This window comes from Homo sapiens, chromosome 4, assembly GCF_000001405.40.
Source record: "Homo sapiens chromosome 4, GRCh38.p14 Primary Assembly".
NCBI lineage: Eukaryota > Metazoa > Chordata > Mammalia > Primates > Hominidae > Homo > Homo sapiens.
Window position 1 is genome coordinate 186963081 of NC_000004.12, and position 14971 is coordinate 186978051.

At 51.5% G+C, this 14971-nt stretch overlaps 1 long non-coding RNA gene across 6 annotated transcripts in view, besides 1 other annotated feature; it reads left to right on the forward strand.

Annotated features, from left to right (window-relative positions):
* LOC102723906 (uncharacterized) overlaps positions 1–14971 on the forward strand; it is a 220555-nt gene that overhangs the window by 122419 nt on the left and 83165 nt on the right. The window lies entirely within an intron of this gene.
* Positions 875–2074: an enhancer, noted in NCBI's record as "MED14-independent group 3 enhancer chr4:187885109-187886308 (GRCh37/hg19 assembly coordinates)". NCBI's record gives its function as "activates an origin of replication core promoter dependent on BRD2, BRD4, P300/CBP and CDK7 cofactors, and independent of MED14, by STARR-seq in HCT116 cells {active_cell/tissue: HCT116}" and the evidence as "EXISTENCE:reporter gene assay evidence [ECO:0000049][PMID:35650434]".

Below are 14971 nucleotides of genomic sequence, written 5' to 3' on the forward strand. Positions count from 1 at the left end.
GTGCTGGAGAGGAACCCCGGACGCCACCATTTCACATGAAGAGGCAGGCGACATGCGAGTGCTGAGGAGGAACCCTGGACGCCACCATTTCACAAGAAGAGGCAGGCGACATGCGAGTGCTGTGGAGGAACCCCGGACACCACCATTTCACATGAAGAGGCAGGCGACATACGAGTGCTGAGGAGGAACCCCGGACGCCACCATTTCACATGAAGAGGCAGGCGACATGCGAGTGCTGGAGAGGAACCCCGGACGCCACCATTTCACATGGAAGAGGCAGGCGACATGCGAGTGCTAGAGAGGAACCCCGGACGCCACCATTTCACATGAAGAGGCAGGCGACATGCGAGTGCTGAGGAGGAACCCTGGACGCCACCATTTCACATGGAAGAGGCAGGCGACATGCGAGTGCTGGAGAGGAACCCCGGACGCCACCATTTCACATGGAAGAGGCAGGCGACATGCGACTGCTGGAGAGGAACCCCGGACGCCACTATTTCACATGGAAGAGGCAGGCGACATGCGAGTGCTGAGGAGGAACCCTGGACGCCACCATTTCACATGGAAGAGGCAGGCGACATGCGAGTGCTGGAGAGGAACCCTGGACGCAACCATTTCACATGGAAGAGGCAGGCGACATACGAGTGCTGAGGAGGAACCCTGGACGCCACTATTTCACATGGAAGAGGCAGGCGACATGCGAGTGCTGGAGAGGAACCCCGGACGCCACCATTTCACATGAAGAGGCAGGCGACATGCGAGTGCTGAGGAGGAACCCTGGACGCCACCATTTCACATGGAAGAGGCAGGCGACATGAGAGTGCTGAGGAGGAACCCCGGACGCCACCATTTCACATGAAGAGGCAGGCGACATGCGAGCGCTGGAGAGGAACCCCGGACGCCACTATTTCACATGGAAGAGGCAGGCGACATGCGAGTGCTGGAGAGGAACCCCGGACGCCACCATTTCACATGAAGAGGCAGGCGACATGCAAGTGCTGGAGAGGAACCCCAGATGCCACCATTTCACATGAAGAGGCAGGCGACATGCGAGTGCTGAGGAGGAACCCTGGACGCCACCATTTCACATGGAAGAGGCAGGAGACATGGGAGTGCTGAGGAGGAACCCTGGACGCCACCATTTCACATGAAGAGGCAGGCGACATGCGAGTGCTGAGGAGGAACCCTGGATGCCACCATTTCACATGGAAGAGGCAGGCGACATGCGAGTGCTGTGGAGGAACCCCAGACGCCACCATTTCACATGAAGAGGCAGGCGACATGCGAGTGCTGGAGAGGAACCCCGGACGCCACCATTTCACATGGAAGAGGCAGGCGACATGCGAGTGCTGAGGAGGAACCCCGGACACCACCATTTCACATGAAGAGGCAGGCGACGTGCGAGTGCTGAGGAGGAACCCTGGATGCCACCATTTCACATGGAAGAGGCAGGCGACATGCGAGTGCTGTGGAGGAACCCCGGACGCCACCATTTCACATGAAGAGGCAGGCGACATGCGAGTGCTGGAGAGGAACCCCGGACGCCACCATTTCACATGGAAGAGGCAGGCGACATGCGAGTGCCGAGGAGGAACCCCGGACACCACCATTTCACATGAAGAGGCAGGCGACATGCGAGTGCTGGAGAGGAACCCCGGACACCACCATTTCACATGGAAGAGGCAGGCGACATGCGAGTGCTGGAGAGGAACCCCGGACGCCACCATTTCACATGGAAGAGGGAGGTGACATGCGAGTGCTGGAGAGGAACCCCGGACGCCACCATTTCACATGGAAGAGGCAGGCGACATGCGAGTGCTGAGGAGGAACCCTTGACGCCACTATTTCACATGGAAGAGGCAGGCGACATGCGAGTGCTGGAGAGGAACCCCGGACGCCACCATTTCACATGAAGAGGCAGGCGACATGCGAGTGCTGAGGAGGAACCCTGGACGCCACTATTTCACATGGAAGAGTCAGGCGACATGCGAGTGCTGAGGAGGAACCCTGGACGCCACCATTTCACATGGAAGAGGCAGGCGACATGCGAGTGCTGGAGAGGAACCCCGGACGCCACCATTTCACATGAAGAGGCAGGCGACATGCGAGTGCTGGAGAGGAACCCCGGACGCCACCATTTCACATGAAGAGGCAGGCGACATGCGAGTGCTGGAGAGGAACCCCGGACGCCACCATTTCACATGAAGAGGCAGGCGACATGCGAGTGCTGAGGAGGAACCCTGGGCGCCACCATTTCACATGGAAGAGGCAGGCGACATGCGAGTGCTGGAGAGGAACCCCGGACGCCACCATTTCACATGAAGAGGCAGGCGACATGCGAGTGCTGAGGAGGAACCCTGGACGCCACCATTTCACATGGAAGAGGCAGGCGACATGCGAGTGCTGAGGAGGAACCCTGGACGCCACCATTTCACATGAAGAGGCAGGCGACATGCGAGTGCTGAGGAGGAACCCCGGACGCCACCATTTCACATGAAGAGGCAGGCGACATGCGAGTGCCGGAGAGGAACCCCGGACGCCACCATTTCACATGGAAGAGGCAGGCGACATGCGAGTGCTGGAGACGAACCCCGGACGCCACCATTTCACATGAAGAGGGAGGCGACATGCGAGTGCTGGAGAGGAACCCCGGACGCCACCATTTCACATGAAGAGGCAGGCGACATGCGAGTGCTGAGGAGGAACCCCGGACGCCACCATTTCACATGAAGAGGCAGGCGACATGCGAGTGCTGGAGAGGAACCCCAGACGCCACCATTTCACATGAAGAGGCAGGCGACATGCAAGTGCTGAGGAGGAACCCTGGACGCCACCATTTCACATGGAAGAGGCAGGCGACATGCGAGTGCTGAGGAGGAACCCTGGACGCCACCATTTCACATGAAGAGGCAGGCGACATGCGAGTGCTGAGGAGGAACCCTGGACGCCACCATTTCACATGAAGAGGCAGGCGACATGCGAGTGCTGAGGAGGAACCCTGGATGCCACCATTTCACATGAAGAGGCAGGCGACATGCGAGTGCTGGAGAGGAACCCCGGACGCCACCATTTCACATGAAGAGGCAGGCGACATGCGAGTGCTGAGGAGGAACCCCGGACTCCACCATTTCACATGGAAGAGGCAGGCGACATGCGAGTGCTGAGGAGGAACCCCGGACGCCACCATTTCACATGAAGAGGCAGGCGACATGCGAGTGCCGGAGAGGAACCCCGGACGCCACCATTTCACATGGAAGAGGCAGGCGACATGCGAGTGCTGGAGAGGAACCCCGGACGCCACCATTTCACATGGAAGAGGCAGGCGACATGCGAGTGCTGAGGAGGAACCCTGGACGCCACTATTTCACATGGAAGAGGCAGGCGACATGCGAGTGCTGAGGAGGAACCCTGGACCCCACCATTTCACATGGAAGAGGCAGGCGACATGCGAGTGCTGGAGAGGAACCCCGGACGCCACCATTTCACATGGAAGATGCAGGCGACATGCGAGTGCTGAGGAGGAACGCTTGACGCCACTATTTCACATGGAAGAGGCAGGCGACATGCGAGTGCTGGAGAGGAACCCCGGACGCCACCATTTCACATGAAGAGGCAGGCGACATGCGAGTGCTGAGGAGGAACCCCGGACGCCACCATTTCACATGAAGAGGCAGGCGACATGCGAGTGCTGGAGAGGAACCCCAGACGCCACCATTTCACATGAAGAGGCAGGCGACATGCGAGTGCTGAGGAGGAACCCTGGACGCCACCATTTCACATGGAAGAGGCAGGCGACATGGGAGTGCTGGAGAGGAACCCCAGACGCCACCATTTCACATGAAGAGGCAGGCGACATGCGAGTGCTGGAGAGGAACCCCGGACGCCACCATTTCACATGAAGAGGCAGGCGACATGCGAGTGCTGGAGAGGAACCCCGGACGCCACCATTTCACATGAAGAGGCAGGCGACATGCGAGTGCTGAGGAGGAACCCCGGGCGCCACCATTTCACATGGAAGAGGCAGGCGACATGCGAGTGCTGGAGAGGAACCCCGGATGCCACCATTTCACATGGAAGAGGCAGGCGACATGCGAGTGCTGGAGAGGAACCCCGGACACCACCATTTCACATGAAGAGGCAGGCGACATGCGAGTGCTGAGGAGGAACCCCGGACGCCACCATTTCACATGGAAGAGGCAGGCGACATGCAAGTGCTGGAGAGGAACCCCGGACGCCACCATTTCACATGGAAGAGGCAGGCGACATGCGAGTGCTGGAGAGGAACCCCGGACGCCACCATTTCACATGGAAGAGGCAGGCGACATGCGAGTGCTGAGGAGGAACCCTGGACGCCACCATTTCACATGGAAGAGGCAGGCGACATGCGAGTGCTGGAGAGGAACCCTGGACGCCACCATTTCACATGGAAGAGGCAGGAGACATACGAGTGCTGAGGAGGAACCCTGGACGCCACTATTTCACATGGAAGAGGCAGGCGACATGCGAGTGCTGGAGAGGAACCCCGGACGCCACCATTTCACATGAAGAGGCAGGCGACATGCGAGTGCTGAGGAGGAACCCTGGACGCCACCATTTCACATGGAAGAGGCAGGCGACATGAGAGTGCTGAGGAGGAACCCCGGACGCCACCATTTCACATGAAGAGGCAGGCGACATGCGAGTGCTGGAGAGGAACCCCGGACGCCACTATTTCACATGGAAGAGGCAGGCGACATGCGAGTGCTGGAGAGGAACCCCGGACGCCACCATTTCACATGAAGAGGCAGGCGACATGCAAGTGCTGGAGAGGAACCCCAGACGCCACCATTTCACATGAAGAGGCAGGCGACATGCGAGTGCTGAGGAGGAACCCTGGACGCCACCATTTCACATGGAAGAGGCAGGAGACATGGGAGTGCTGAGGAGGAACCCTGGACGCCACCATTTCACATGAAGAGGCAGGCGACATGCGAGTGCTGAGGAGGAACCCTGGATGCCACCATTTCACATGGAAGAGGCAGGCGACATGCGAGTGCTGTGGAGGAACCGCGGACGCCACCATTTCACATGAAGAGGCAGGCGACATGCGAGTGCTGGAGAGGAACCCCGGACGCCACCATTTCACATGGAAGAGGCAGGCGACATGCGAGTGCTGAGGAGGAACCCCGGACACCACCATTTCACATGAAGAGGCAGGCGACATGCGAGTGCTGAGGAGGAACCCCGGATGCCACCATTTCACATGGAAGAGGCAGGCGACATGCGAGTGCTGAGGAGGAACCCCGGACACCACCATTTCACATGAAGAGGCAGGCGACATGCGAGTGCTGGAGAGGAACCCCGGACACCACCATTTCACATGAAGAGGCAGGCGACATGCGAGTGCTGAGGAGGAACCCTGGACGCCACCATTTCACCTGGAAGAGGCAGGCGACATGCGAGTGCTGGAGAGGAACCCCGGACGCCACCATTTCACATCGAAGAGGCAGGCGACATGTGAGTGCTGGAGAGGAACCCCGGACGCCACCATTTCACATGGAAGAGGCAGGCGACATGCGAGTGCTGGAGAGGAACCCCGGACGCCACCATTTCACATGAAGAGGCAGGCGACATGCGAGTGCTGAGGAGGAACCCTGGACGCCACCATTTCACATGGAAGAGGCAGGCGACATGCGAGTGCTGGAGAGGAACCCCGGACGCCACCATTTCACATGAAGAGGCAGGCGACATGCGAGTGCTGAGGAGGAATCCTGGACGCCAACATTTCACATGGAAGAGGCAGGCGACATGCGAGTGCTGGAGAGGAACCCGGGATGCCACCATTTCACATGAAGAGGCAGGCGACATGCGAGTGCTGAGGAGGAACCCTGGACGCCACCATTTCACATGGAAGAGGCAGGCGACATGTGAGTGCTGAGGAGGAACCCCGGACGCCACCATTTCACATGAAGAGGCAGGCGACATGCGAGTGCCGGAGAGGAACCCCGGACGCCACCATTTCACATGGAAGAGGCAGGCGACATGCGAGTGCTGGAGAGGAACCCCGGACGCCACCATTTCACATGGAAGAGGCAGGCGACATGCGAGTGCTGAGGAGGAACCCTGGACGCCACTATTTCACATGGAAGAGGCAGGCGACATGCGAGTGCTGAGGAGGAACCCCGGATGCCACCATTTCACATGAAGAGGCAGGCGACATGCGAGTGCTGGAGAGGAACCCCGGACGCCACCATTTCACATGGAAGAGGCAGGCGACATGCGAGTGCTGGAGAGGAACCCCGGACGCCACCATTTCACATGAAGAGGCAGGCGACATGGGAGTGCTGGAGAGGAACCCCAGACGCCACCATTTCACATGAAGAGGCAGGCGACATGCGAGTGCTGAGGAGGAACCCCGGACGCCACCATTTCACATGGAAGAGGCAGGCGACATGCGAGTGCTGGAGAGGAACCCCGGACGCCACCATTTCACATGAAGAGGCAGGCGACATGCGAGTGCTGAGGAGGAACCCTGGACGCCACCATTTCACATGAAGAGGCAGGCGACATGCGAGTGCTGGAGAGGAACCCCGGACGCCACCATTTCACATGAAGAGGCAGGCGACATGCGAGTGCTGAGGAGGAACCCCGGACGCCACCATTTCACATGAAGAGGCAGGCGACATGCGAGTGCTGGAGAGGAACCCCAGACGCCACCATTTCACATGAAGAGGCAGGCGACATGCGAGTGCTGAGGAGGAACCCTGGACGCCACCATTTCACATGGAAGAGGCAGGCGACATGCGAGTGCTGAGGAGGAACCCTGGACGCCACCATTTCACATGAAGAGGCAGGCGACATGCGAGTGCTGAGGAGGAACCCTGGACGCCACCATTTCACATGAAGAGGCAGGCGACATGCGAGTGCTGAGGAGGAACCCTGGACACCACCATTTCACATGGAAGAGGCAGGCGACATGCGAGTGTTGTGGAGGAACCCCGGACGCCACCATTTCACATGAAGAGGCAGGCGACATGCGAGTGCTGAGGAGGAACCCCGGACGCCACCATTTCACATGAAGAGGCAGGCGACATGCGAGTGCTGGAGAGGAACCCCAGACGCCACCATTTCACATGGAAGAGGGAGGTGACATGCGAGTGCTGGAGAGGAACCCCGGACGCCACCATTTCACATGGAAGAGGCAGGCGACATGCGAGTGCTGAGGAGGAACCCTGGACGCCACCATTTCACATGGAAGAGGCAGGCGACATGCGAGTGCTGGAGAGGAACCCCGGACACCACCATTTCACATGAAGAGGCAGGCGACATGCGAGTGCTGAGGAGGAACCCCGGACGCCACCATTTCACATGGAAGAGGCAGGCAACATGCGAGTGCTGGAGAGGAACCCGGACGCCACCATTTCACATGGAAGAGGCAGGCGACATGCGAGTGCTGGAGAGGAACCCCGGACGCCACCATTTCACATGGAAGAGGCAGGCGACATGCGAGTGCTGAGGAGGAACCCTGGACGCCACCATTTCACATGGAAGAGGCAGGCGACATACGAGTGCTGTGGAGGAACCCCGGACGCCACCATTTCACATGAAGAGGCAGGCGACATGCGAGTGCTGAGGAGGAACCCTGGACGCCACCATTTCACATGGAAGAGGCAGGCGACATGCGAGTGCTGGAGTGGAACCCCGGACGCCACCATTTCACATGGAAGAGGCAGGCGACATGCGAGTGCTGAGGAGGAACCCTTGACGCCACTATTTCACATGGAAGAGGCAGGCGACATGCGAGTGCTGGAGAGGAACCCTGGACGCCACCATTTCACATGAAGAGGCAGGCGACATGCGAGTGCTGAGGAGGAACCCCGGACGCCACCATTTCACATGAAGAGGCAGGCGACATGCGAGTGCTGGAGAGGAACCCCAGACGCCACCATTTCACATGAAGAGGCAGGCGACATGCGAGTGCTGAGGAGGAACCCTGGACGCCACCATTTCACATGGAAGAGGCAGGCGACGTGCGAGTGCTGAGGAGGAACCCTGGACGCCACCATTTCACATGAAGAGGCAGGCGACATGCGAGTGCTGAGGAGGAACCCTGGACGCCACCATTTCACATGGAAGAGGCAGGCGACATGCGAGTGCTGAGGAGGAACCCTGGACGCCACCATTTCACATGGAAGAGGCAGGCGACATGCGAGTGTTGTGGAGGAACCCCGGACGCCACCATTTCACATGAAGAGGCAGGCGACATGCGAGTGGTGAGGAGGAACCCCGGACCGCACCATTTCACATGAAGTGGCAGGCGACATGCGAGTGCTGAAGAGGAACCCCGGACGCCACCATTTCACATGGAAGAGGGAGGCGACATGCGAGTGCTGGAGAGGAACCCCGGACGCCACCATTTCACATGAAGAGGCAGGCGACATGCGAGTGCTGGAGAGGAACCCCGGACGCCACCATTTCACATGGAAGAGGCAGGCGACATGCGAGTGCTGGAGAGGAACCCCGGACGCCACCATTTCACATGGAAGAGGCAGGCGACATGCGAGTGTTGGAGAGGAACCCCGGACGCCACCATTTCACATGAAGAGGCAGGCGACATGCGAGTGCTGAGGAGGAACCCTGGACGCCACCATTTCACATGGAAGAGGCAGGCGACGTGCGAGTGCTGAGGAGGAACCCTGGACGCCACCATTTCACATGAAGAGGCAGGCGACATGCGATTGCTGAGGAGGAACCCTGGATGCCACCATTTCACATGGAAGTGGCAGGTGACATGCGAGTGCTGGAGAGGAACCCTGGACGCCACCATTTCACATGGAAGAGGCAGGCGACATGCGAGTGCTGGAGAGGAACCCTGGACGCCACCATTTCACATGGAAGAGGCAGGCGACATGCAAGTGCTGAGGAGGAACCCTTGACGCCACTATTTCACATGGAAGAGGCAGGCGACATGCGAGTGCTGGAGAGGAACCCCGGACGCCACCATTTCACATGAAGAGGCAGGCGACATGCGAGTGCTGGAGAGGAACCCCGGACGCCACCATTTCACATGAAGAGGCAGGCGACATGCGAGTGCTGAGGAGGAACCCTGGGCGCCACCATTTCACATGGAAGAGGCAGGCGACATGCGAGTGCTGGAGAGGAACCCCGGACGCCACCATTTCACATGAAGAGGCAGGCGACATGCGAGTGCTGAGGAGGAACCCCGGACGCCACCATTTCACATGGAAGAGGCAGGCGACATGGGAGTGCTGGAGAGGAACCCCGGACGCCACCATTTCACATGGAAGAGGCAGGCGACATGCGAGTGCTGGAGAGGAACCCCGGACGCCACCATTTCACATGGAAGAGGCAGGCGACATGCGAGTGCTGAGGAGGAACCCTGGACGCCACCATTTCACATGGAAGAGGCAGGCGACATACGAGTGCTGTGGAGGAACCCTGGACGCCACCATTTCACATGAAGAGGCAGGCAACATGCGAGTGCTGAGGAGGAACCCTGGACGCCACCATTTCTCATGGAAGAGGCAGGCGACATGCGAGTGCTGGAGAGGAACCCCGGACGCCACCATTTCACATGGAAGAGGCAGGCGACATGCGAGTGCTGAGGAGGAACCCTTGACGCCACTATTTCACATGGAAGAGGCAGGCGACATGCGAGTGCTGGAGAGGAACCCCGGACGCCACCATTTCACATGAAGAGGCAGGCGACATGCGAGTGCTGAGGAGGAACCCCGGACGCCACCATTTCACATGGAAGAGGCAGGCGACATGCGAGTGTTGTGGAGGAACCCTGGACGCCACCATTTCACATGAAGAGGCAGGCGACATGCGAGTGCTGAGGAGGAGCCCCGGACCGCACCATTTCACATGAAGAGGCAGGCGACATGCGAGTGCTGAAGAGGAACTCCGGACGCCACCATTTCACATGGAAGAGGCAGGCGACATGCGAGTGCTGGAGAGGAACCCCGGACGCCACCATTTCACATGAAGAGGCAGGCGACATGCGAGTGCTGAGGAGGAACCCTGGACGCCACCATTTCACATGGAAGAGGCAGGCGACGTGCGAGTGCTGAGGAGGAACCCTGGACGCCACCATTTCACATGAAGAGGCAGGCGACATGCGATTGCTGAGGAGGAACCCTGGATGCCACCATTTCACATGGAAGTGGCAGGTGACATGCGAGTGCTGGAGAGGAACCCTGGACGCCACCATTTCACATGGAAGAGGCAGGCGACATGCGAGTGCTGTAGAGGAACCCCGGACGCCACCATTTCACATGAAGAGGCAGGCGACATGCGTGTGCTGAGGAGGAACCCTGGACGCCACCATTTCACATGGAAGAGGCAGGCGACATGCGAGTGCTGTGGAGGAACCCCGGACGCCACCATTTCACATGGGAAGGCCGGCTTCCTCTTTGCTAATGAATGAGATAATTACAACAGAATCAAGCCAACCCCAGAAAGCGCAGCGCCTGAGCAGAAGAAATGGGAAGTTCACTGGGTGGCAGTGTTGGGAACTGAGGTAGAAATAGAGCATTCCAGGTTTGCAATAATACAGGTTATTTCCTTACGTCATTTCCGTATATCCTAAAAAGAGGAGCAGGAGGGCACATACTAGGTCTAAGCTTCCATCTCTACTCCTAAAGGAATACTACTAGCTGAGGTAGTCCATACTCCCAGCAGAATTTGAGCTCATAGGAAGAGAGAAAAAAATATATCTGAGGAGGAGTACTAGCCCTTTAAAAGAAAAATAGATACTGAAGAATCTTATCAGAGAGAGCTGAATTAATGGTCCAGATAAAACAAGAACTGGAAATAAAATAAATATCTTCAGAGAGCAGGAAAGGATATTGCAAATATGAAGCAGGAACAATCAGTGAAGACAAAGAATCAAATGAGGATGGGAATAAAACATATAATAGCAAAATGTATATAGACAAAGAATAAATCAGTAAGATAAAGAATCTGGTTGGAAAATTTTCCCCAAGTTTAAATAAAGGCATAAAAGATGGAAAATATCTAAGAACTAAAATAAAGAGAAACTAAAAGTGGAAAGGTCAATTTTGATTTACTACATAAAACTAAATAGAGTATAGAATTGTTTTCATTGTTGTTGAGATATAATTGAGAATTAAAGAAAGATAGAAAGTCAGATCAAAATGGCTCCATAAAACAACAGACCACATTGATAAGCAAAACCTCAAATCTTGACACATTACACTTAATTTAAAATAACAAAGGCAAAATTCTAAAAGCATCTGAATAAGAAATAATATTTCATTGTAAATTAAGATAATTAGCATCAAATTTTTGAATGGTAACACTAGAATATTAAAGTGACATTTGAAAAATATTGAAGAAAAATAAACTTAGACCTAGAGTTTTATATACAGATAAACTATTATTTAAACACTAGGTTGAATAAAATAAAGGCATTTCAAGAGACACATAGAAGGCGAGGGCACATAAAATCTTACAGAAAACATTCTACAGGGAGTACTTCTACAGAGAAAACAAATAATTCCAAAAAGAAAGTTTAAGGTCAACCAAATAAGCAATGGCAAAAAAGAAATATTGTGTGTGATTATTTGTATATGTGTATAAGAGTGTCGTCCAATGGGCCTTTCTGTTTTGATGGAGATATTCTATTTGTACTGTTCAATATGATAGACCATAGCCATGTGTGGCTGTTGGATGAAAAGTATGGCTAGTGTGGCCAAGGAACTGAGTTTTAAATTTTATTTAACCTTAATAAATTTAAATTTGAATAGCCATGTGTGGTTAGTGGCTACTACATTGTACAGCAGAGCCCTGTACTAACACAGATGAAATGTTCCAGATTATACCAATATATGCTGAGGGTCAGGAACATGCAGAAATCAGAGGATTTGGACAGTATGTTCAGGTTCTTGTCTTTTACACAGGGAAGAAATAATAATGAGCTCTAAAAAATTAAGTCTGAAATTTAAGGTATTAGCAGAAACCAACTGAAAGATAGACGTTAAAATTTGGCTTTCAAAACAGAAGAAAAAAAATTGCTCTCTTCAATAAAATGCAAGAATGGAGAAAAAATAAACAAGAAGAAAGGTTGATACATAGAAAATATGCAATAGGATGACAAGAATAAATCATAGTATGACAGTAATTTAAGTAAATGTAAATAGGTTAAACATGCACATCAAATCACAGAGACTCTCAGGAAATAAGATGCTGTAATACATTGTCTATTAGAGATATTTGAAACAAAAGAAAACAGCTAGTTGAAAATACATGAGACATCCATTTTTATTATCAATTTTAATAACAAAGAAATTATAAGTTGTTAAACTATGTAAGTAAAAGATATGAATACCATATATGTGTATATATACACATACATATGAAGAAAGGAGATGCTGGGCGCAGTGGCTCATGCCTGTAATCCCAACACTTTGGGAGAACAAGATGGGCAGATCACGAGGTCAGGAGATGGAGAACATCCTGGCTAACACAGTGAAACCCCATCTCTACTAAAAAATACAAAAAGTTAGCCAGGCGTGTTAGCGGGCGCCTGTAGTCCCAGCTACTCAGGAGGTTGAGGCAGGAGAATGGCGTGAACCCAGGAGGCGGAGCTTGCAGAGATAGCGCCACTGCACTCCAGCCTGGGCGACAGAGCAAGACTCCGTCTCAAAACAAACAAACAAACAAACGAACAAAAACAAGAAAGAGGAAATAAAAAAGAAAATGAAATGTATACATCCACCTCTATGATGAAGACAGATACATTCTGAGAAAAAGGTGCATAAATCAACAATTGCAGTTGGAGTTTTGGACACACTTTCAAGAAGAAAAACTGATCCAAAAGACAAAAAATAAAAAGAGGAAGGATTTAGACGGTTTGAAAAAAACTCTCTGATTGATAAGCTCAAACCCATAAATGCATATAGATTTTCACACTCCAAAACCTAGAATACACCTGCACATAGTAAATATTTATAAAGCCTCAAATTTTATGAAATCAAAAGCATAAAACATCAGAGATCAATAAACAAAAAGTTACTTTTAAAGGATCTGCAGGTGACCTTGAATAACACAGGGATCAATGTATGATCAAAGTATATCATGAACAACAGAATGGCTAAAAATTGGAGAACTTAGATAAAATTGATGAATTTCTGGAGTTATATATAATACCAAAATTGTTACAGGATTAAGCAAAAACCTTGAATGAGACAATCATCAGGGAAATAATTAAAAGTTAATCAAAGACTTCTCCCCTAAAACAGCTTCAACACCAGATGGTTTTAAATGTGAGTTCTACCTAACTTTAGAGGAACAGATAATCTTGATCTTATACAAGAGAACTCTTCCAAATGCAATTAAATCTAATAATGTGTGAAAATTCGTAATAACGAATATATTTTTTCCAAGGAATATAATGGTATTTTAATAACAGATATTCTATTAAAGTAACAATCATACTCATTGGGAAAGCTGTAATTACTTAGTTTAGTTTAGTTTACTTATGGGCCAAGTAAATAACAACAAAAATCTGGCCACATCTCCATTAAGGCCTTGGAATCATCAATCCACATAATTAAAATGGAAAAGTTGTGTCATGAGTCACGACAGATACTACAAATTCACTCACTTAAAAATGGGAAAAGGAAAGAAAGATGTACCCTATTACTACAAATGCTTAACATAACATTGGAGGTATTTGTTAATGCAAGATAGTAAGAAAAAAATAAGATGCCTAAGGATCAGAAGGGTCGCAAAAACAGTCTTATTTATTTACATGTAATAGGACCCTCTAAATAGAAAACCAAGTAAAATCAAAAGAAAATTTAGTAATGATAAAACTGAGGAAAGTTGTTTAATACAGGACAGACATCTAAAATCAATACCATTGGTTTATTATATTTTCAAAGTTGAAAATATAATTTATGTTTTATATAAATATATAATTGTGAATAATGTCTTAATTTTCAACTTTGAAAATATAATAAAAATAAGACATTATTCTTAGTGACAACATTTCTAAAATTTCTCAGGAATTATTGTAACAAATAATCCAATCATTCCTACAATTTAGAGATTGGAAAAGGGACTAGGGTAAATCTAGTTAGTAGATTTTCAAAGAATTATTTTAGCAAAATTTAACTGAGCTTAGAACTTACAATAATATTTTCCTAAACCAATTTTCAACAATAATTCTAGATTTTTCTCAGTGTATCCAAGTTATAGTCAGTTAACATATGAGTTACTTAGAGTACAGCCCAAGTTTAACTTTCATAATAACACCTAATTAGTGCCAAATCGCACAGATAATGTGGTAGGCAGCCTCTGAAATGGTTTCCCACTGAACCCTCCTCGCTGTATTTACTACTTCCCGAAATCCTCTCCTTTTGACCATGGGCTGGACCTAGTGCCTAATGCATAGAATATGACAAAGGGGATAAGATGTCATTTCCAAGATGAGGTTACAAAGAGTTTGTGCTTTCCATCTTGCTGTCATTCTCTCTTACCCACTTGCTAGCTTCCTTGGTGGCAATTCAATGGCCTTGCTATGAGCTGTGCTGTGGAGAGACCCACATGGCAAGGAAATGAAGGAGGCCAGTAGCCAGTGGGCAACTGAATCCTGCAACCATGTAAGTGAGTTTGAAAACATCTTCCCCAAGTCAAGTCTTCAGAGGAGACTGCAGCCCCTGCTGACACCTTGATTATAGCCTTGGCAGAGGCTTTAGGCAGACACTCAGCTAAGCCACGATCTGGATTCCTGACTCACGGAGATAATGCTTACTCTTTTGAGCTTCTAACTTTTGATGTAATTTGTTATATAGCAATAGATAACTAATATAGGCAAGTATCTGAAATAAAGTAGACAACTAGCTAAAGAGGAATGTTGGTGATTATGTGCCTCAAAATGAGAACTATGATTAACGTAGCTTACTTATGGGCCAAGTAAATAACGACAAATACAAGCCAAAAA